At 32.4% G+C, this 21,767-nt stretch overlaps 1 protein-coding gene and 1 long non-coding RNA gene across 2 annotated transcripts in view; one reads left to right on the top strand and one right to left on the bottom strand.

The window, feature by feature from the left end:
- Positions 1–21,767, top strand: part of LOC124904473 (uncharacterized) — a 37,073-nt gene that overhangs the window by 9,586 nt on the left and 5,720 nt on the right. The gene's annotated exons all lie outside the window — the stretch shown is intronic.
- The window catches only part of RGS21 (regulator of G protein signaling 21), a 50,294-nt gene continuing 32,087 nt past the window's right edge, over positions 3,561–21,767 (bottom strand). The window contains exons 4-5 of the mRNA NM_001039152.3: positions 18,633–18,799; positions 3,561–4,925 (exon numbers count right to left, since the gene is read on the bottom strand). Of these exons, the coding sequence (NP_001034241.1) occupies positions 4,722–4,925; positions 18,633–18,799 (371 nt within the window). The 3' untranslated portion in view covers positions 3,561–4,721. The remainder of the gene's footprint in view (positions 4,926–18,632; positions 18,800–21,767) is intronic.

Genomic DNA, 21,767 nt, shown 5'->3' with positions numbered 1-21,767 from the left:
ATCTTTAACCTTCTAGTGTTAGAGTTTATTTACTCTTTTAAAAGACTGCTTCTAGGTTAAAAACAAACAAACGTGCAAAGGAATCTAGAGAATCACTGGACAGCAAACAATACTTTAAAAGAAAATTTTTAGCAGGTCAGTCATAACTCCAACAGTTTAAATCTCCCTCACAGTGTTCTTGGTCTTTCACATTGGATTATGGTATGTTGTCCTAAAAGATTCATATTCAGATATTAAACGTTACTTTGAGTGATTAATAATAAATTTATTTTTTTCTACCAAGTAATAGGCATTTTCTTTGTCTTTTCCTCATAATATGTAAGAAAAAACTGTTATAACTTTGAATTCATGATTATATCTTTGGGGTAAACATGATATATTTGGAAAGTGCAATAAAAACAACAATTTAAAGGTATCATGACCAAAATATTTACTTCTTTAAAGCTAAAACTGACACTATAAAAATAAGATATTTTAACTAAAATCTGTAAGAAGTAAACACAATAATATTTAATATAATTAAAAAAATTTAACTTTTTTCTTATTAGTTTTTAAAAAGAGACAGCTATTTATTATATTTTATCTCTAAGCCATCATCATTTATAACATTAATGATCTAAATATTACAGCTTATTTTCCTAAATGCACATAAGAAATAAAAGTATTAAAACAAATAACTCAAATCATATTCATAAGGAATTAATTGCTTTAAAATCCTTATTTGTGAAAACAAATAAATTAAATTATGTTTTAAGTGAAACTTCCAGGAATAATTAAACAATCATCACCTAAGAAAACAATGTGCATTGAATAAAGCAATTTTTTTCTTAGAAATACTCATAGCTGACTTTATTCTAGATATAACAAAAATCATAAATACTCAATGGCTACCTAATAATCTGATTAAACTTCATTGGACATATATATATATATATATATATATATTTTTTTTTTTTCTTTTCCACATGTCTAGCTCTGTTTTTGCTTCTTAAACAAAAGAAAAAGAAAGGCTAATGTGATTTCTTAAAAAAAAATGCATTTTTAAGTAAATGTTATTTTCCCCACTTTCTGTTATACTTGGAAACACACTAATATATGTTCATTTATTATTAGAATTAATTATACATATTTCAACACACTCTATAAGTAGTATTTATACAGAACATATAAAAATTTCTCCACAATAGCATAGCCTAGGTAAATAAGTTATCACTTAATATTCATTCCTGTTCGTTGCCCATTAAAATGCAGTGGCAAATCTGACAAAACAATAAGAGGAAGCTAGCCTGTGTGACTCTTTATTCATATAATAGTTGATTACTGCTGTGACAACATCCCACCTTTTTCACAGTTATGAAATGAGTTCACTTTAAATTAATTGGCATCACCATGAAATAAATTACCTGGCCATGTGGTTGGGAAGCAAATCAGGCCCACATTTGATATAATTGGGGTGAAACTGTTATATAGGGATTGTGTGAGTGAAAACTAAAGATATAATTTTTACATAGGAAATAAATGTGCAGAGACTAGCGATACTGAGACCAACTTGTCTGGTTTTGTTTTTAAGGAGAATTTTCTGTTTTTAGAATAAATTTCTTAAGTTTTCTAATAATTATTTATTTATGTTAGGCATAGCCTACATGATTGGGAATATTGGCTAATTATCTTCCATATAGACAAAGAAAAGAAAGTTCAATCTAAATTTCAAGTCTAGGATAATGAACCTAAACTTTTCTTGAAATTTCAGGAAAGAAACCTAGACCATTTTCCAAAATTATGGCCCAGAATGCTACTATGGTATAAAAGGCCAGGTTGATACTAAGCTTCGTTAGAAGGGATATTGGAAAAGAAACTGAAAACACTTTTTTTCTCTCCTTTTATTATATCAATATGTGTTTTCATCAACAATATCCTGAGTACAGATAGTTGCTACACCACACAGAATTTTAAAAACTGTAGAGCAAAGTAACCAAAACAATGAAAGTGGGTAGAATGAGTTCTACATATAGACAGACTGAAGAAAAACCCAAGAAATAAAAGCAAATTTGGGAAGGTAAAGTTGGAGACAAGATTATGTTTGTAATGCCCTAAAGATTTTAGATTTTTACAATATAGTATTAGAAAAAAGTTTGATTATATCTTGAGGCAGAAATAGATCCTTTCTGGGCAAATAGAAGAAACTACATATAAACTTAAAAGAATCATTATGGATGGAATTATTAATACTTGAAATACAAATAAATTCAAAAGGATTTTAGATAAATTCGTGGATTATAGCTCCATAATTCATTGTTAAAAAGGTAAGATTAACTTAGAAATATATCATTTTACTTCTTTAGGTCTGACTAGTGGAGGGCAAGCAGAAATTTCATTAAAACACATTCTGTGGAAACTATCAGAAAGCAGAAAGCATTGTGCTTGGAAAAATCTTACAATATGAAGGTCATTTCAATTTAAATATCTTGTAATTGTATTAATGTTTTACTGCTTACCTTAGTTTTTAATGTTAGCACCTCATTTCTTAAAGTTGATAGAAACGTTTTTAGGAAATGGCATTAAACAATCATTGAATATTTAAACACATTTTCAGGAATGTTAATGTTGTTATTCATTTCTTGCAAATTAATTTTTTTTTACTTAAAATTTCATCCATAAAATTACTCATCGATAACTGATGAAATAAAATAACATATGGCATGAAAGAGAGCACGTGTGTAAGATGTACATCTGATATTTTATTAAAAATCCTGACTGATAAGTGTTCAAAAACCTGCAATTGTTTTCTTTTCTTTTATTTAATCAGAATACCTAGAATTGTCACTTAGGGCGGGAGTGAGTTGAGGAGGTAGGTATTGTTATTGAGGGTCTTTGGCTGGGATCCTATTAGAGGTCATTTAACATCCAATTTTCAACAAGACATTTTGACACCAGCCGTATTTTTTTAGGTACTATCAAGCACCTACTGTTTCTAGGTAGTGAAAGTTTAATTTGTGTCTTCTTTCACATCATTAGAGAAAACTTGAGAGGCAATCATTAAATATAAAGTCTTGCTCTATGGTAACGAGAAAGAAGTTGCAAACTGACTGTAAAGAGAAAATTGAAATACCTGATGAAAGGGATTGTGTCTGGGTATTTGAGGATTAGTTGGAGTTTAGATTCCAGACCTCAGAACAGTTCTTAATTGGAGAGAGGACTACACTGTTCTGTCAGAGTAGGGAGCCCACGTGGGAAAAGCACTGCTCTGACCAGCTTGGTCACTTACTAGCCTTGTGATCTGAGGAAATAACTGAGATTTTTTTCTTTTCATATCTAAAAGTGGGAATGTGATTTTAATTTCCAAGATTCCTTTTATCTTCAAAAGTCTATTTTTTCTCCGAGAATAATTTGAAGTTTCCCATTTAAATAGAGACTAAATTAAGGTTGGAATCTCTACAATATATGTTAAAAAGTGTAGCTATTTTCCACTAAGTGCACCTTAAGGCACATTGAATGCTTCACAACCAATTTCTATTTATGCCTTCTTTTAAAGAATTTGCAAATGTACAGGGAATATTCCATTTGAATATGTTTAAATGTTTATTTCTCATGATGAAGGGAAGACAAAATTTTGTCTATCAAATGAGTAGTTTGTGAAAACATAAAATAAGCCATGCTATTTTTCCTCCATTTTTTAATGTTCAAACAATCTAAAAGCAGAAATATCAATGCAGATAAATAAATCTGTGCAAAGAAAATGGAAACGTGGGAGATCTGTTGAATCTTTACAGCTTCTCATATTGAAATGAAATTATTCGTATTTATCACAGGATATTTACATATAGAATGAAACAATTTTAGGAACATCTCAAAATAAATGCATTTAAAAATTGTTTGGGTTTTATAAACAAGTATCAGTGCTGAAGGAGTGAATAGATACTTCCCCACAATTGAGTAGATAATGTTGCAAATTCTTAAATTTTATGACTTGCTATATACTTCATCTTATAAGGATTTATCTATGCTCCTTAGTCTTCCACTTTCTTTTATATTTCTGTTAACATAAGAAAATCAGTATTCCCCACCCTTGAGGCCTTTTCATACATAACTCATCACATTTTATATGTGATGCCATTGAATTGAGCCAAGTGATATATTTTGAAAAACTTTGGTCCATGGTGCATTCAAGACATACATATAAATGTGTATACATTCCTGTGATTTAAAAAATATAATTTGAGAGGCGTAGCAGTTTTCATAACCACATTATTAGAAATAGTTGGAAAGAAATGGCAGAAAAAAAACAGTTAAATATATTAAATGAAAGCTTGTATTTTGGTTCAGAAATTCTCTTTTTACAAAAGTGAGATTTTTTTGAATAAAGCAATGGTATTTAAAATTGTGTATATGATGCTCAAAAGTCTTTCATTCTGCCACGTGAAGATATGTATAATTCCTTACATTATAATATAATAAGAATATTCAGTTTTGGTTTAAGACTATATTGTATCTCTATAAACTTTCTTTGTACTCCCCCAGTAGGAGATTAAATAGCTGGTAAAGCAAATACATTCTAAACAACTGAGTTAGAAATTCAGGCTTGTTGTATAAAACGTTATTCATCTGTTTGGGTAAAAAATGTTTTCTAAATCCTAAAAACAAAACAAAAGACAATGCATCATGCTTGTATATTTAAAATATTGTAGCCCTGAAGTATAGTGATTAGTTAACTTTTACCTTCCTCACAAAAAAGGGAGCCATTTTTTATGATTTGGAACCTGTTGGCTATTTACCAGTTTTTTATAAATCTCTGACTTCAGAAATCGAGGGAAAGAATCCTTGGCCATGAGACAATAGATTAATTTCTGAGCCTCATCAAAGCATTTGAGTGTTGGTTCAGCAATATTCTTTGAGATGAGGTCTCTGGTACCGAAGTCAATGTTAATCTGTGGAAAATAAGGTTGCATATCATTGAATTAGTTTAATCAAAGAATGTATAGTTTATACATATATATTATTTAAAATTCTTTCTAAACACAAAGCAAATCTGATGCAAAACAGCAGAAAGTTCATGTATTCATTTTCTAGAATGCAGAATACATGCTTGGTTTAATTATTTTTCTTCCATGCTTGAGAGGGGTAGCATTGACAGGAAACAGTGGTAAAACCTTATTTTGAGATTTATTTTAAAGAAGGCAAAGTGAAAAAGCAAGCAAGATATTTTATGACTTTACATTTTTTTCACCTACCTTTTCTTTTCTAACACTTTGAACTGAGTACTTAAAATGTAATTTTCCTAGGCAGAACTGTTTCTAGAATTTATTAGGTTTGAATATACCAACTCATTCCCATTCTCCATATTTTCCTTTGTTCCTCACAACACTGCTTTTCTTTCTAATTTGTGTTTCTTTTTATTTGATAAATGGATCAAATAACATCCCCTCTTTAGTGATTCTCATCTCTCCCACAGAACATATATCTACATATAATCTCCCTGTTTCTTTATCATTACCACATATAGGCATTTCCAGCGAGTTCTAATGGAGATCTATTATATTGAAACACACCATTCACCTGCAAATATGTAAAATGCTCCAAACCTTCTTGTGGAGATACTAAGATCCTCACATATTCCAGGATATATTTTGAGAAGCAGAAAAGTTTATATCCAAATTATGTAACTTAAACTGAAAATAGTCATGAAGTTCAAAGAGCTTTTTTTTTTTTTTTGAGACGCACTTTTGCTCTTGTCGCCCAGGCTGGAGTGCAATGGCACAATCTAGGCTCACTGCAACCTTTGCCTTCCAAATTCAAGCGATTCTCCTGCCTTAGCCTCCCTAGTAGCTGGGATTACAGGTGTGCTCCACCATGCCTGGCTAATTTTTGTATTATTAGTAGTAGAGACGGGGTTTCACCATGTTGGCCAGGCTGGTCTTGAACTCCTGACCTCAGATGACCTGCCTGCCTCGGCCTCCCACAGTGCTGGGATTATAGGGATGAGCCACCGTACCTGGCCTCAAAAGAGATTTTAATCTTAAAATTAAAAGCTCACCATAGGCGGGTTCTGTATCTGTCTTATTCATCATTCTATTTTCTAGCACTTAGCAGAATACCTACCACATAATAGTAAATCAATAAATATTTGTTAAATGGAATTTAAATGTCCCTTGGAAAAATGCAGGAGATGGTAAAAATGTTAGAATTTTGGAGTATGGAACTATAAATGACAATTTATGGTGCACTAAATTGAGGTTAAACAATAGGCACAGACACCTGCAATCAAATTCCTCCTCAGCTACTTACTTGCTGTTTGCATGAGTGAAGCAGTTTCTATAATTTCCTTTAATTTTCAATTTCCATAGTGTGAAAGAGAATAGTAATAGCACCTATCTTAAAATGTTTTCAGGATTAAATGACACAAGAATACCAAACTATTTTAATATTATTATTCTAGGAAGAAAAGAATAAAAAAAGTAATTTGAAAAGAATCATCAAAAGGCCACTATTTGCTCATAGATCTTTCCTTTCCTTTGGGACTTCAGCTACTCATGATCCCAGAATATACTTCCACTTTTCTTCCTTTGATTACCTTCTTGAGTCCCTCATCAAAGTTCCAGAACAAGTGCCAAAATAATCTTAAAGGCCTGAAAATCTGGAATCAGTTGTCCATTTATTATACCAGAAGATGGTGCAGGGCAGTGGAAACACTTGGGGATCCTTTTCAAGTCTGTCCTCTAACACTTACAGCTTTGGTGACCTTGGGTGAGTTAGCTTAATATTTCTGAGTTTCTGCTTCTTCAGTGTTAAGCTGCTGATAGTTTTTGACCCAGTGATATAAGAATTAAAGCAGGATGATCCATATATTTATTATTTCACAAAAAATTTTGAGTGTCTGTTATGTACAAGATGCTGCTGTATTTGGGGAAACAAAACCAACAACTAAATAAATGTTTTAGATGTAAAGTTGAAAGATAAGAAGAAGATGGTGCTCTAAGAATCTGGGGAAAAACACTTAGGGCAGAAAAAATAAGCAAATAAACACAGAGTCCCTAATGCAAGAAAAAAATTATTAGGTTCTAAAGAGCCACTACACCTTGAGAGCCAGAGTGTAGGGTGTAAGCAAGGAATTTTTGTTATAATATTGTAAAAGGAGATCCAGGCCAGGTCTTGTAGAGTTTATGTGCTGTGTTCAGGACTTATTTTCCTGCTAGAAGCAATAGAAAGATACTGAAAGGTTTTGTGCAGTTAAGTGGCACGATAACTTATATAATGAACATATACAGTGTTTGCCTCATAGTGGGAATCAATAGTGGCTATTATCAAGATTTGTAGTGGTTTTTAAACATCTACTATAGTCTGTTTCATAAACTTATCTGGTGTTGTGGGAATATGAGAATATATGCAGCCTGTTTCTTCAATTAACTATATTGTTAAGTCTTTAACAGCATCATCTGTGATTTGTTTAACTTTATATTTCCCCTAGTGGTTAAGCAGAGGAACCTAACCTGTTTAGACACTCATCAAGGGAGTTTTTTGCTGACAGCATGGCCAAAGTGTGCCTGCCAAACAGTGCTAGCTTATTATTATTATTGTTGTTGTTGTAACTGAACACCTATAATAATTCCTCTTTTCCTACTTAAAAAGTCCAAAGCCATGATTTTGGCATTCATGGCCTTTACAATGTAATACCTACTTACACATTTCTTCTCTTTTATGTGTGCCCTGTATTCCCATCAAGCTAGACAATTCCACTTACATTTCTTGTATATTTTTACTTTTAAACATTTCTCATAATATCTCAATCAAACTGAAAGTCACTCCTTTTATCCTAAGTCTTTCACAAGTCTTTTTGTCTTTAAATTTAACTAACACCTAGCATTGAAGTTTATGTGTGGATTTTTTTTCTTTCTGATCTGTTAAGGGATTTTGCATTGCTAAGATGATATTTACATTTTGAACATCCTTTAGTATGCCTTGCACACTGTAAGAACTCAATAAATACATGTATAAGCAGTGAAAAAATGGTTCTATACTTGTTCAAAATCATGTTTAAATTTTAGAGAGAACTCTTCAATTTCAACATAATAATGCTAATTAATATTATTACTGAAATATATTAACCTTGTACTTCTGACTTATGCTCGTCATTTTTCTGATTTGCCTATTTTCCTACCAAGGAACTGCCAGCATCAGCAATTGGTAGCTAAGTGATGAGCAGGTTTACTGTTCTCAGGAGATGATCAGTAGTCTTATAAAGCTGTGTCTTGGCAATTCAGCTTAATGTCAGTGACAAAACATCACACCTCCATGTTCGTGTAAATGTAATTATATTTCTTAAAGTTGTTCAAGCTAGAAACATAGGAATTGTCTCTGACACCTGTTTTTTCTCTGATCACTTATGTTGTGTGTTTGTGCGTGTGCACATGCACATATGCGTGTAAATTCTTTTTTTTATTTTCTAATTTCACAATGGTCTTTTTCATTCTCACTCTTATTTTTCCAGCTTAGGGCTTTATAACCAACATTTTCCCTAAGTTATGGAATTTGTCATTTATCTGATACCTCTTTTTACAGTATCTTTCCCTTCTGAACACAATAAATAATATTACTAAATCAGTTTTACCAAAATATAACTTTTATCACATAAAAATTCAGCTGAAAACCCATTATTTTCTATAACATAAAAGTTAAACATCTCAGTGTGGCATTTGAGATTCTTCACACCCTGACTTTAATATGTTATTTTGAAATCAACTTCTACTTTTTCCTATTGATATGCATAAACTGGACTACTCTCTGTTCCCAAAGTGAATATTTTACCTAAAACTTTTGTTTACACTGTTTCACCATCTAAAATTCCTTTTGCCCTCATAATTATATCCTGTACAGTTTGTCTTCCACCTTTATCATTTACCTTAAGTTGAATATCCTCTGAGAAGCCTTCCTTGTTCACAGAAAGAAAGTCACTATAATTTCCTTTTTATTATATTCAATTTTGGTTTAAAAATCTCCAGAAAATTGGCCGGGCATGGTGGCTCATGCCTGTAATTCCAGCTCTTTGGGAGGCTAAGGTGGGTGGATCACCTGAAGCGAGGAGTTAAAGACCAGCCAGATCCAACATGGTGGAACCCCATCTATACTAAAAATATAAAAATTAGCCAGGCGTGGTGGTGGGTATCTGTAATCCCAGCTACTCAGGAGGCTGAGGCAGGAGAATTGCTTGAACCCAGGAGTTGGAGGTTGCAGTCAGCCGTGATCATGCCACTGCACTCCAGCCTAGGCGACAGAGCGAGACTCCGTCAAAAAAAAGGAAAATAAAATTCCGGAATTGATTTTTTAAACAGATTTGAATGCAAAAGCTTCTGATAATGTTAAGTATTCAATGTGATTATCAGAGAAAGATTTGTCACTACAGATGGATTCAATAGTTCGTGAAGTGGAATTAAGCTGTCTTTAATTTACTATCTTCTCTCTATTTCTTTTACTAATTTTTTATTCTCCACAGGTCTTTGAAAAATATAAGCAGAGCATATATATATTCTCCAAGTTCTGCCTCAAGTCTTTTCTTTCTAGACTTTTTCCTTAGTGATTTTGTCTTCTTCCATGGCAAAGTATTTTGAACAATAACATCAACTCTAAAATAATCATAAGGATATTTCAAGATGATTATTTTAACTGTAAATAATATGTTATTTTAATTAAACATTAGTACTGATGTGCTAAGTCTTCATATGTCTACTTTATGCTAAATATCACACAACCATATAAGATGGATAATATTATCCTCTTTTGGTGGCGGAGGGGAGAGTCTTAACATATTTTGGAAAGCTATCTACTTTATTTTTAGTAATTTTTTCAATTTATTTATTTAGAGTATTTATGGAGTAGGTGCTTAGGAACTGTGCTAGGATTTGAAGATAAAAGATGATTAAGGTAAAAAGTCAATCAAGAAATCAGATTTTGAAAAAGTAACCCAAAAGAAAAAAATTGCGTCCCTAAGGAAAAGCTTTCTGAAGGAAATGAAATTTTAAGCTGGTTTTTCAAGTAGTATTATGACTATGAAATATTAAAAAGGAGACTTGCACATGGAATGGTAAACTGGAGGAAGCCCTGTGGGTTTTGAGAAGAAAGATAAATCACAAAAGGCATAAAGGTGCCAAATCATGTAGGACATTGTAGATCTTGTTAAGGACTTCTTTACTTATTCTGAGGCCAACGAGGAGAATTTTAAGTCAGGGACTAATGTAACCACATGTTTGAAAAAGCATCGCTGGCTCCCATGTGGTGTAATAGCTGGCTGTGGGTGAAAGAAAGAAAAATTAGGATACCACACCAGGAGATCAGGAGGACAATTGATGGTGAATTAGGTTTGGTAACATCACAGAGAATAAAGGGAAGTGCATAGATTTCAAAGCTATTCAGAAAGTAGAATGAATGGGACTTGTGATTGAATAGTTATGAGCTAGGGCAAGGGAGAACATCTTTTTAAGAATAGCTGGATATTAGAAATAGTCTAAAGAAAGAGATGACAGAAAATGCTGATGGATTGAATATAGGGTATATGAGAAAGAGAAGAACCAAGAGATGACTACAAATTATTTAGCCAGAATAGTGGAAGAACAGAGTAGTTATTAACAGAGATAGAGAGAACTTGGGTTGGAGAAAGCTTTGGGCAGGAAATCAGGACTCAGATTTAAATTTGTTAAGTTTGAGATTCCCTTTAAAAGCCATAGAACTAGAAGAGATCATCAGGAGAGTGAGTGGAAGCAGAAAATAGATGAGGAGTGTCTCTTCTCATTATAATACATTTTGGATTATGAGTAGGAACAGGAAAAGAAATGGTGAAAGGGCAATCAGTAGGGGAGAAAGAAATCCAGTCCTAGAAGCCAATTTAAGATATTTCCATTAAGAGGGAGTCATATGTTTTGTTAAATGCCCCTAGAAGTCAATTCTGGTGATGTATGGAACTATGCTATCAAGAGTGCCTTATCTTTCCTTTTCAACTCCCTTGAAATTTTAGTAAGATAGATATATATATCTTACTAAATAATGTATATAACTTACTATGTGTATATATATATATAGAGAGAGAGAGAGAAAGTTACATATAGAGTTATATATAACTGTCTCTCTATATATAACTCTGAAATATTAAAGAGGAGACTTGCACATGGAATGGTAAACAGGAATATATATATATATATATATATACACACACACACATATAAACATATATATACATACACATAGATACATATTTCTTCCTTTAATAGAGTCACTCCTTGGGACATGTCTGTGAACTGCACTCCCAACTTGGCACTCCTCTCAAATGTGATTTTTGTTTGTATTCTACCAGAAGATACTTGGATACAGTTCTATCTCTAAAAGTAAGACAGATGAAATATTGAGTTTGAAGTATACTGAAGGTGGGACTCCATCAGGAGGTGACACTCTAGAAACTCATACTTGCCATTTGCATGTTGAAGGCACTCCTGAGTTGCTTGGAAGCTACAGAGAAGCTTAGACTTCGCTGAGCATCTCCAACTATGAACTGCAGAGTGTGGGCTGAACATTATATCAATTAACCAAAAAAAACAGTGCCACATGTATTTTATTTACTGACATAAATAGCTACTTGTATTGTTTGTATGGATACCCTTTGGTTTCAGTGACTTTCAATATTATGTTTGTGAAACATAATATTTTATTTGCTTATTTTTCAAAAGGTCATAAATTATCTTAGATTTCTGAAACCACTACACTGCCAATCTTGGAAAACAAGACACAGGATTGTGGTTCTTAGAAAATGACAGCTGAGATGTCATCACAACCATTTAGAGGCTTTTAAATCCTGTCAGTTTTGAAAAGGTCTTGACACAACTGACATTGACAACAATCCATTGCATTAAAATGACTGCTTTATGAATGATGTTTCAGGTAGTTGTGTAAAACAATTTTATTATGAAGACCCAGGATATTTTAATATGCATGTGATTTTTGTTAACTGAAAGCGATGCAAACCAAATTTATTTTCTCTACACCAGCAGTCTTAAATTCTTTTGGCTTTCAATAAATTACTTTAGCAGAAAGAATACATTTTAAAGTGTACCTGTTGGCTCTCTTGTGACCGTAATCTGTGCTTTATGTATTTTTACATAATTTGAATGAAAAGTTTTCAACTGTGCTCTCACATTCAAATTAGATAGCCTTTCCTCATTTAGAATGTATAGTGTAGCAGGAGACTGTCATTATGCAAAGGGTGTGTGCATGCATAAGTAAAACGCCTTACAAAAATGGAGCCGGCAGCATCTTAGACCTCATTCACAGCTGAGCTTAAAAATTACTATTCAAATTAAGGCCATCTATAATCATATTTTTGGTTACCTAATTCTTTTAATCACCACTAACACCTCAAGTATTACTTCATTTTGGCATCATTAAAAGCAAATGAATATCCTAAAATATATTCTCAAAGGTGGCTATTAAAGTTGAATACAACAAAGTTTGTAACATCTAGAAGGAATTCATCCCTGCATAAGACTGTATCCTTTTGTTGTCATTGGCTTTGGAGGCAGAAATACAAGGTGGGAGGTAAGATTAACACCTTAAATTGGGAAAGAGAAATGAGAGAAATATAATTCAAAACCATCCTGATTAATTAGACAAGTAGTCAAAGCAAAGATAGAACTGAATAGAAACCAGATGCTTCTCCGATTTCTGTGGTGATAAAGGAGATGACACATATGAAATCATAACGTGTACGGATGGCTAAAAATAGATATACAAAAGCTACAGCTACACTGGAGCAGCCGAAATGGAATCAGATTGACCTGTTTCCATCACCAATCCCAACATGCTAAACTAAGATCATTTTAAGTGGCACAGAGACACAGAAGTGTAAAGAACACCTGAGCCTTTTGTTTTTGAGTTGAAATGCAGAAATTATTTTTTGAAGCACAGAATGATTCTGCAGATTATTAGAAGAAATACTTCTGACACTTTTTTCCTTCTAATGTCATATTTGAATCTAGGCTTCATAGTCTAAGAAGTTACACAAATTAGAGAGAATATGAGAAGAGAAATAAAACTGTTGATAGGAAGATATATTGTATGTGACTAGATAATTTTATGCTTCTGCTTTTATCATAAACATCAAGTATCCCAGGCTATGTCATAAACACTTCAAATTAGTGGTAGATCTAGGGGAAGAAATTTGAAGCTTAAAAGTATGGGCTGAAGACCTCCCTCTCCATGGATCTTAATGACTGCAGGGCTCATCATTTTATCTCTAAGCCTCAGTTTTTCACCTTAAAATGTGAATGAATGTAATACTTCCCTAAGAGAGTGAACGTGATGACCAAATGAGATAATCCATGTAAAATCTCTGTACAGATATTATAGTTTCTTTAGCTCTCCTTTTCTCTTTCTCTCTCCCTCCCTCTTTCTGTGTCTCCCTTTCTTCTTTTGAAGGAGAGCTCTTTAAGAAGGAATGAATAAAAATGTGGAAATCATTGGGATCCAGAAGGTGCAGTTAACCTCAATTTATACTTGAACACACACAATACTAGGCTTCTTTCACTGCTGGACCAGTCTTCTAGGCACTGGCTAGTCCTTTGCTTGGCTCTTCTTCCTCTTCCTCTCCTATCCTTCTCTCTTCCCATCTTGTCTTGTTTCCCTCTATAGTCAAATTTCTGGTCAAAGCTTACCAGTTACTTCTTCGAAATACATTCCCTGATCCTCTAGACTTGGATTTTCCTGTTGCAAACTACCATCTCACCTTATATTTCCTTGTTAGGACACTCATGGAAGTTTATTATAATTATTATTTTTTATCTGGTGTCTTTCTACCAGAGTATGGGGAAGGATCTACTCAGGGACCATGACTGTCTTTTTCTTAGTTGCACCAGCATAATGCTTAGCAGATAGTAAGTATTCAAGTATTGATTAATGAACAAAAACCTAGAAAATTAACAAATAAGCAAGCACATTGTATCCAGAGATGATTCTGTAGTTGGGGGAGCACTGTTGGCTAACAGTCACTAGTAGGGCAGAAATAAGCTACTCAAAATAACATCAACATATAGAGGAAGTGGTATTTAAAAATGCAAAGAAAAAATACGAATATAAAATGCAGATTACAAATTGGCATCACAGTAATAGGATAAAATGCTTCTAGATGCCTATTTTCATGGGCTTTTCTCTGTCAACAACTCATATATCTGTTTCTTCCCCCAAGACTCAGTTTAAAACTATCCTTATTTATAATGAAGGTCTTATCTCAATATGCTGCTGTCTTACTGGTATTTAATCATCATATCCTTCCAGGTAGCATAAAAATAATTTCATCTTTGTTTTGCACTTAATCATTTGTTGCTTTGCCATTTTCTCTAGTTCTATACACTTTATTTTTTAACCCAACTGTATTGAAAAGTTCTTTAGAGTCAAACTAAAGTTTCTATTTATTTTCTTACATTTCGTTATGGAGAGCTGCCTAACACAGCAACACATTGTGTTATACTTACGTGTTTATTATCTGTTTTCCTGCCTAAACTGAGCTGCTCTTCCATGGAGGGATTTTATCTTACAAGGATGTGACTAGGCACAGAATAAAAAACATTTATTGATGTGAAAGATAATGTGACTCAATAAGCAACATTGTGCTGAATCACAAATAAAAGTAAGAAGCCAAACACAAATATTAAAAAATGTCCTGCACGGACCCGTGAAGATGTACTCTCGTTTATGACTATAATTTCTTCTTTGTTTTATGAGATACAGTGTCCTCACATTTGGTAGATACATTTAAGAATTAAACATTTTCTGCTGTTTTTTGACTTAAAAAACTACCAATGTGTTTTTTCCTGGATTGTTGACAGTGTGAAATTGAATTTATATAATTTTTAAATGTTACACCATGATATGATTTGATACTATAATTCTAATTTCATAGAATGACAATCAACATTAAAAATTTCTCTTTAATGACATATTTTCATCCTCTATGACTTTCTTTTCAATATAGAGGAATGATGACATAAATATAATATATATTTTAAATATGTTAATTTCTTAGCTGAATATGAAAATATTATTATTTTTCAAATATTATTTTCTCAAAGTTAAGTAATATTTTCTTGAAAATTCAATAATCTGAAATTAGCAATCCAAGCTGAAGCAAAAATAAGTACAAGTTTAAGAATTTTTTTGTTTGCCACTCCCACATTATTAGTATGTACAAAGTAGAGATACTTTAAAAATATCTATTTCTCTAATAATTTTCTTATTTTCAAGTCACTTAGTCAAAATACTTGGGTCATGATTTTTTTTTTCTGCTATATTTTCTCCTGAAGCCATCTAGGTAAAATTTACTCAATGAGCAACTGTTTTTATTTGGACCTGGCAATTTGCAAACCCATTTTTATAATAAGTGTTCACGTTTCCACTTCTCTCAAGTCTTAACATTGCTTATCTACATATGTTCTTAGAAATAAGCTAAGGGTTGTTTCAATAGTTAGTTTCAATAGCACTTATCGTGACTTGTTTAAAGAAAGAAAGGAATTACCATTCCTTAAAAACCGTTCTGCATGATGTAAACCCTAGACACACTATCTCATGTATCATTCTCGTTTTTCCTATGTAAATGTATCATTATACTTTTTCAGATGAGGAAACTGAGGCAGAGAGATAAATAGCTTATGACAGAATTACACAAGTGAGGGATCAGGATTTGAACCCAGGTCTAGATAGCTCCAAACTTTAGTTTTTCTGCTACATCATACTAACACCCTGTTAATTTGGGAACCAGAGAGAATGTAACACTTTAAAGGAGAGGACATAAAATCCAGCTGAAATTATCATCTCTCATAGAGACCTGAAAGTTCAATATATAGTCTTTCCTATTAGAGTAGGAAACTGATACCCATTAGTAATGTCAATTTATAGTCAGGGATAATTTAGTAAGTTTCATATAGTTTAATTGTAAATTGTCCAATTGCATCAGCAAATAATTATTAAGCCATGTTAGCAATGAAATAGGTGAAATAAAGATATAAAACTTTGAAAAGAAAGTAAATGGGATATAATAGGCATATGAGTAATATGACCTTGTTGTTCTTTATTTTACCAAGGAAACTGGTTATAATTTAGATTCTTTATAAGAGTCTGTTATATAACTACAGAGTAATATAGAATATAGAAAAACTGAGAATATCCTCATATAAATCTCATTCTTGATTTAATTTTCCACTTGTGCAAATCATATTTTCCAACCATCTCAAATATGTCACCGAGTCTTGTCAAGTCTGCCTACTGAGTATATCTAGAATACATTCCATCATTTCTTTATCTCCACTGCTGCCTACCTATCCAACCTCATCCCCAAGTCCTCTACTCACATTAGCAATATCAATATGCCTGCAATTTCTGGAAAATGCTAGGGAGCTTTATACAATGGTGCTCTCAGTGCTGGAATAGTGTTTCTTCATTCATTCTTTTCATAAAATATGACTCATTTTTCATGTGTGAACCACACCGCAAATCTAACTTTAACTCTCCAGGTAGATTAAATCACTCTTTCCTACCGTGCTAATAATGAACTTTAAATGAAGCTTTATTATTATATCACCTATTGTGTATTTGACTAGTTTTATTATGTGTCAGTCTCTTCTTTCACTCGGTAATTTCACTGTGGGAACAGATACTCAAAAAATCAGTTTAATGAATAAACATACTAATAGTATAACTATAACACATAACTGATGAACTATAGAGAAATACCTTGAAGATTGCAATCGGTGTAATATATAACAAGCAAACTTCCTTTAGTAATTTGAATAGGAAACAACTAATAGAAAATGATAGGAAACAGAATAAGTATTTCATATATATATGTATATATAAACATGGGGTATACATATTTATACTTGCGTATTTTCAGTTAATTTGGTAATATCTAATAGCATTTTTAGAGACACTTCAAGGAAAGACTATAATTTATTACTTGGAAAGCAGCCATCAATTTAATTATATTTTGTTTTATCAAAATTAATTAGATGTACAATCTATAAAAAGCTGTGAAGTTTTATATCCCAAAATAATAGCTACACTATTTAGTTAAATTATTACAGTATAAATTAATTTTGGAAGAAAAGGTTAGGAAAATAAATAAAACTATTTTATCAAAATTGATGGTTTATTATGTATTATAACCTTAAATTCAGCTATAATTAAAAGATGACATTTTGTGTTAGAAGATTTTTCACACACAATGTTTCAAAATATTATCCTAAAGCAACTACTATTAATTAGATGAATTCATAAAGGAGGAAAAAATATGACTTTCAGACCAATATAACATTAAGTAGGATATCTTTAGGGTTAATTTCAAAGCAAAATGACACATCAATCAACCTTACAAATCTTACATGCAACATTTTCAATTTTCCAGAATTATTTATTGATTCTTAGATGATGACTTGGAAATAAATGTTGAAATAGCTCTACAGGAGTTAAAGTGCTTTTTCCATCCCCATGAATTCCAGGCCATGCTTCAGTGGTTCACGTGACTATTAATGCTATACTAGACTAATATATGCTGCAGTAATTAATGTCTATCTAAAACTTGAACTATTAGTAATATGGTAACTAACTTTATGTCTCATATTTTCTGAAAGTGTTTGCATTTCATCTAGTCTATCTTTTTTTCCTATAAGTACAACCATCCTCTCATACCATGAATCCTCGTTTTGGATCAGAATACATAGTAACTGTCACTTATAAAGATGTCAGCATTTCACCTCTGTATGAAAGATGATTGGTAATAGTAGTTGGTTTGGTACTAGTAGTTTAATGGAGCTTCCTGTTTGTAGGTTACTTATACATTAACGCTCTTTGTTTATGTAATATATTCAGCAAGAAATCCAAAGCAGTTTACAAATGTAAATTGCTTAAACTTTACAGTTAAAATTTTAAAATGATTTGAAGATGATTATGGTTTTGGCTCTGGAAATTAAATCAACTACAAATGAGATATTCCACATATAAAACACGTTTGGAGCGCTATTAACAGAGTCATTGCAGGTTTCTCCCCAAGGCTCTTTCTAGTTTCCTGATCTTTAAGCAGCACAGGTGAGTCCTGATCACTTGATACAGAGCCCCACATCTTTGGCTCAATTTTACCATCAAAGAAATAAAGGCAAGCAACATATTAATTTGTTTAAATTAATCCCCACACATTACTTTGTTTTTAAATATTCAAGAATGCTATCCATATTGACTTTGTCTAATTCCTAGTTTAGCAAAATAAAAACAAGAAACTACACTGGAAATTCAACAGCATTTTGAAGTAGGATTTATATTGGGTTGATTTTAGCACTGTTTGAGATATTAGACGTTATTTTTCAAGGGCCTGAGTATTGTTGCAAAGAGACAGAAATATTAGTCATACCTAGCCCATAATAAGTGTTGAAAAATACTTACTGAATCAATGAAAAAAAAGAGAGTCATCTTAAGGAATTTCTCTTGGAATCTACTGACATTTTCTATTTAAACACATACTGAGAATTTGATTATCTTTTAGATGGATTTAAGGTCTTCTAATTGGGAGCAGATCTGCTACAGGATGACTCTTCACTGTTCTGAAGTAGTTCACTCACCTCTTTAGGTGCATCAGCTTCAATGAATTCAGAATAAATCATCTTGGCTTTGGAAGCAATTTTGTCTGCATTTTTCGTTTTCTTAAAGTCTTCACAGGCAAGCCAGAACTCAACATTTTCTTCACTAAACTCTGATTTTAGAAATATTCGAAAAGCATCTAGACCAGCTATAAAATATATGAGAAAAAGTTTTGTATAATAGCATACAGAGTAGTAATATGACCAAAATGAGTACATTGTATAATATGAGCATTTACTGGATATTCAGTGGCAAATATTGATCATTGCATCTAAATGTAATGTATGTTTTAGTTGCTAACTCTAGAAAACTTTATTTTCAATCAGTAATTGTTAACATATATAGAGCATATATATAACATATATAACACATATATAGCACATATATGTTATATGTGCTATATATGTGTTATATATATTATATATGTTATATATTATATGTGTTATATATGCTATATAGCATATATATTATATGTGTTATATATGCTATATATAGCATATATAGCATATATATTATATGTGTTATATATGTTATATATATAGCATATATATTTCTACAATTAGCTTCATTAACAAAGAAAACCTGTACTTTTTTCTTTCTGTATTTGAGAAATCTAGAAGTTATGTTTAGGAGATCTTGATGGTAGTTACTTCACAGGAAGCCCCACGGATTTTGCTTTTAAGATTCATTGCACTACGCTCAGGTCAAATTAATTATGTTATACTCAATTCAGGGTAAGAATATCTTTGTTGCTATAAGTTGGTGCAGAAACAAAGTCTGATGCTAAAGTGTTAAATTGTATTGGTTTGGGCTTAAAGCAAAGAAGGAAGAGCTAGCATTTATTAGTTTTGGATAAATATATAGGCCAACTCGATCTCAAAACCAAGAAAGTAACTGGCAACATATTTGATGTGAATGCTTCTCCCCTTTATGTGGCGATAAGCAACTTTAATTCCATAAGGCAAATACAAATACATAGGGTTTTTCTCCGATGTTGCCTTAAGGAAAACATTGATGCTTCCCATTCTCCCTTGTAGTACCTGTTTATAGTGTTTTCCTCCTCCTCCCAGGTATTATCCTTAGCATGTACTTCTCCAGAAACTCTAGATCCGAAACTGCAATGGACTCACTTATTCACAGGCATGTTTACTTTCACTTGATCATGATATGCTCTTTTAAATGTAATAACAACACACAGGGCTTGCAGTCGGTGATTTCTATGAGTCTCACTTCTTTCCCTTATCTTACTTTCAGTCAAATTTACACTTATATCCCTTGCTCCTAAAGATATTTGATATTGTGACCACTTGTTTAGACCTTTCCTTCTCTATTTTCCTCATCAAAATGGGCCAGGAAACATTTTTCTTTGGCATACCCAGAGCTTATGTGAGAAGGTAAGTGCCTCTAGTTAGACAACAGGTCAGAAAGATCATTATCACATTCCCACTGTGGACAAAACTAAACCAATACATTTAGGTCATGTTATTCAGTGTCACAGTTTGCACCCTTTCGCTGGCTGTCTCTATTTTTGAGAATGTATATCTCTGAGGAGTAAAACATGCCAGCACTTTTTCCACTCAGAGAAATTTGCCTTCCAGAACGTTGGTGGTTTTCTCCTCCACCTGCCAGGGAGGCCCCCTTTGCATGTGCTCCAAGCAGCTGCTCCTTTCCTGCAGGCGGAGAGAGTTAATCCTTCAAGTTCCAAAGTACAGGAGGAATAAGTTTATGGAAAAGCAGGGGATAGGCAAAATTGGCTACAGAAATAGAAAACAATAAGAGAAAAGTGAATGAAAAGAGGTTTAAGTCTGTTGTTTATGGGCTGCTGCCTGCAGAATGCAAAAGTGAAGTTTATAGAAATAAAATAGAAAAGGACTTCCTGGAGCAGAATTAAAGTGTCTAAAAACACTGGATTAAAATAGATTTAACAGATTTTTTTAAAGTTATTTGAAATAAGTTTGCAATAACAAGTCATTGCAAAAGGTTATCAGGTACCAATTAAAATTCTTGGTTGAAATACTGGAGAGTGTGGATGCAGTTAATATATGAGCACTATATAAAAATTCAATTAACTTCACGTTCCTTGCTCAAGAAGTTTCTGTAACACCAATTTAGGTTATAAAAATCCCCTTAGTAACACTCAATTAAAATTTTTCTTGAATTCAGTTCAAACAATGATGAAATTTCAGAGATCTAAACAGAATTTATGCTAAGATGTATTTTTATAGAGAGAATAAAGTGTTCTTTAATAATACAGAAAGAATATTGTAGATTCATGCCTGGCAATATTTTATAGTGTATCATCAAGGCATATGGAGCTTCTCCCTAGGAGGATTTTCTAAATGCATCCCAGAGAGATGGGAAGTTAGAGATCAAGATACAATCATTATTTTCCCTTGCTCTCCACTTTTAATGATGGGCTACTCTCAACTAAAAATTAGTATCTTTCCTCCTCCTGTAGGTTGGTTTAGAACCCAATGGAACAAAATAAACAGCTTAAAAAACTAAACCTGGGGCTACTTATCTATATCTTGAACATGATATTTTGTTGATTTACTCTCCTATACATACAATTTGAATGTTCAAAAGATGCCAAATGATTTTAAAGTAATATGCTACATAAAATTAAACTTATTATCTGAGGGCACTCTCCATAGAATGGAATGCTTACTGGTTAGCATCAACAAAGGGCGTTAAGTGGAATATGTCAGCATTATGGGGTGAAAACTAGGCTAATGCCTATGCTTAGTACATGCAAAGTATGTCTGCAAATCAACAAAAACAACTAGGTAATTTGACAAGTCCTTTAGCTGTTTAAAACATTAAAAAGCATTCATACTATTGCCATTTCTCTGGTATTATGAAAAGCAAACCAAACAACTGTTCGGATGTATATGACTTTTCTATTTCATGTGGGCATGAAATATAAAATCCCAGAGGGTATGCAGAGGAATGAGTTTGCCTTCATCTCACCCTTCCTGCCTCTCCTCTATAGTACTGTTGTATGGACTTCCACCACTCTGGATTCTTCTGAGTCACAACACACAGAGAGATAATTCAGTAAGCCTTTTAGCAAACTTGATCTGTCCCATTGCTTATACACTTAAGGAGAAAGGAAA

The sequence above is a fragment of the Homo sapiens genome, chromosome 1, assembly GCF_000001405.40.
Source record: "Homo sapiens chromosome 1, GRCh38.p14 Primary Assembly".
Lineage (NCBI taxonomy): Eukaryota > Metazoa > Chordata > Mammalia > Primates > Hominidae > Homo > Homo sapiens.
Note: the sequence above shows the minus strand (reverse complement) of the source record. Positions and strands in the feature narration are given on the sequence as shown.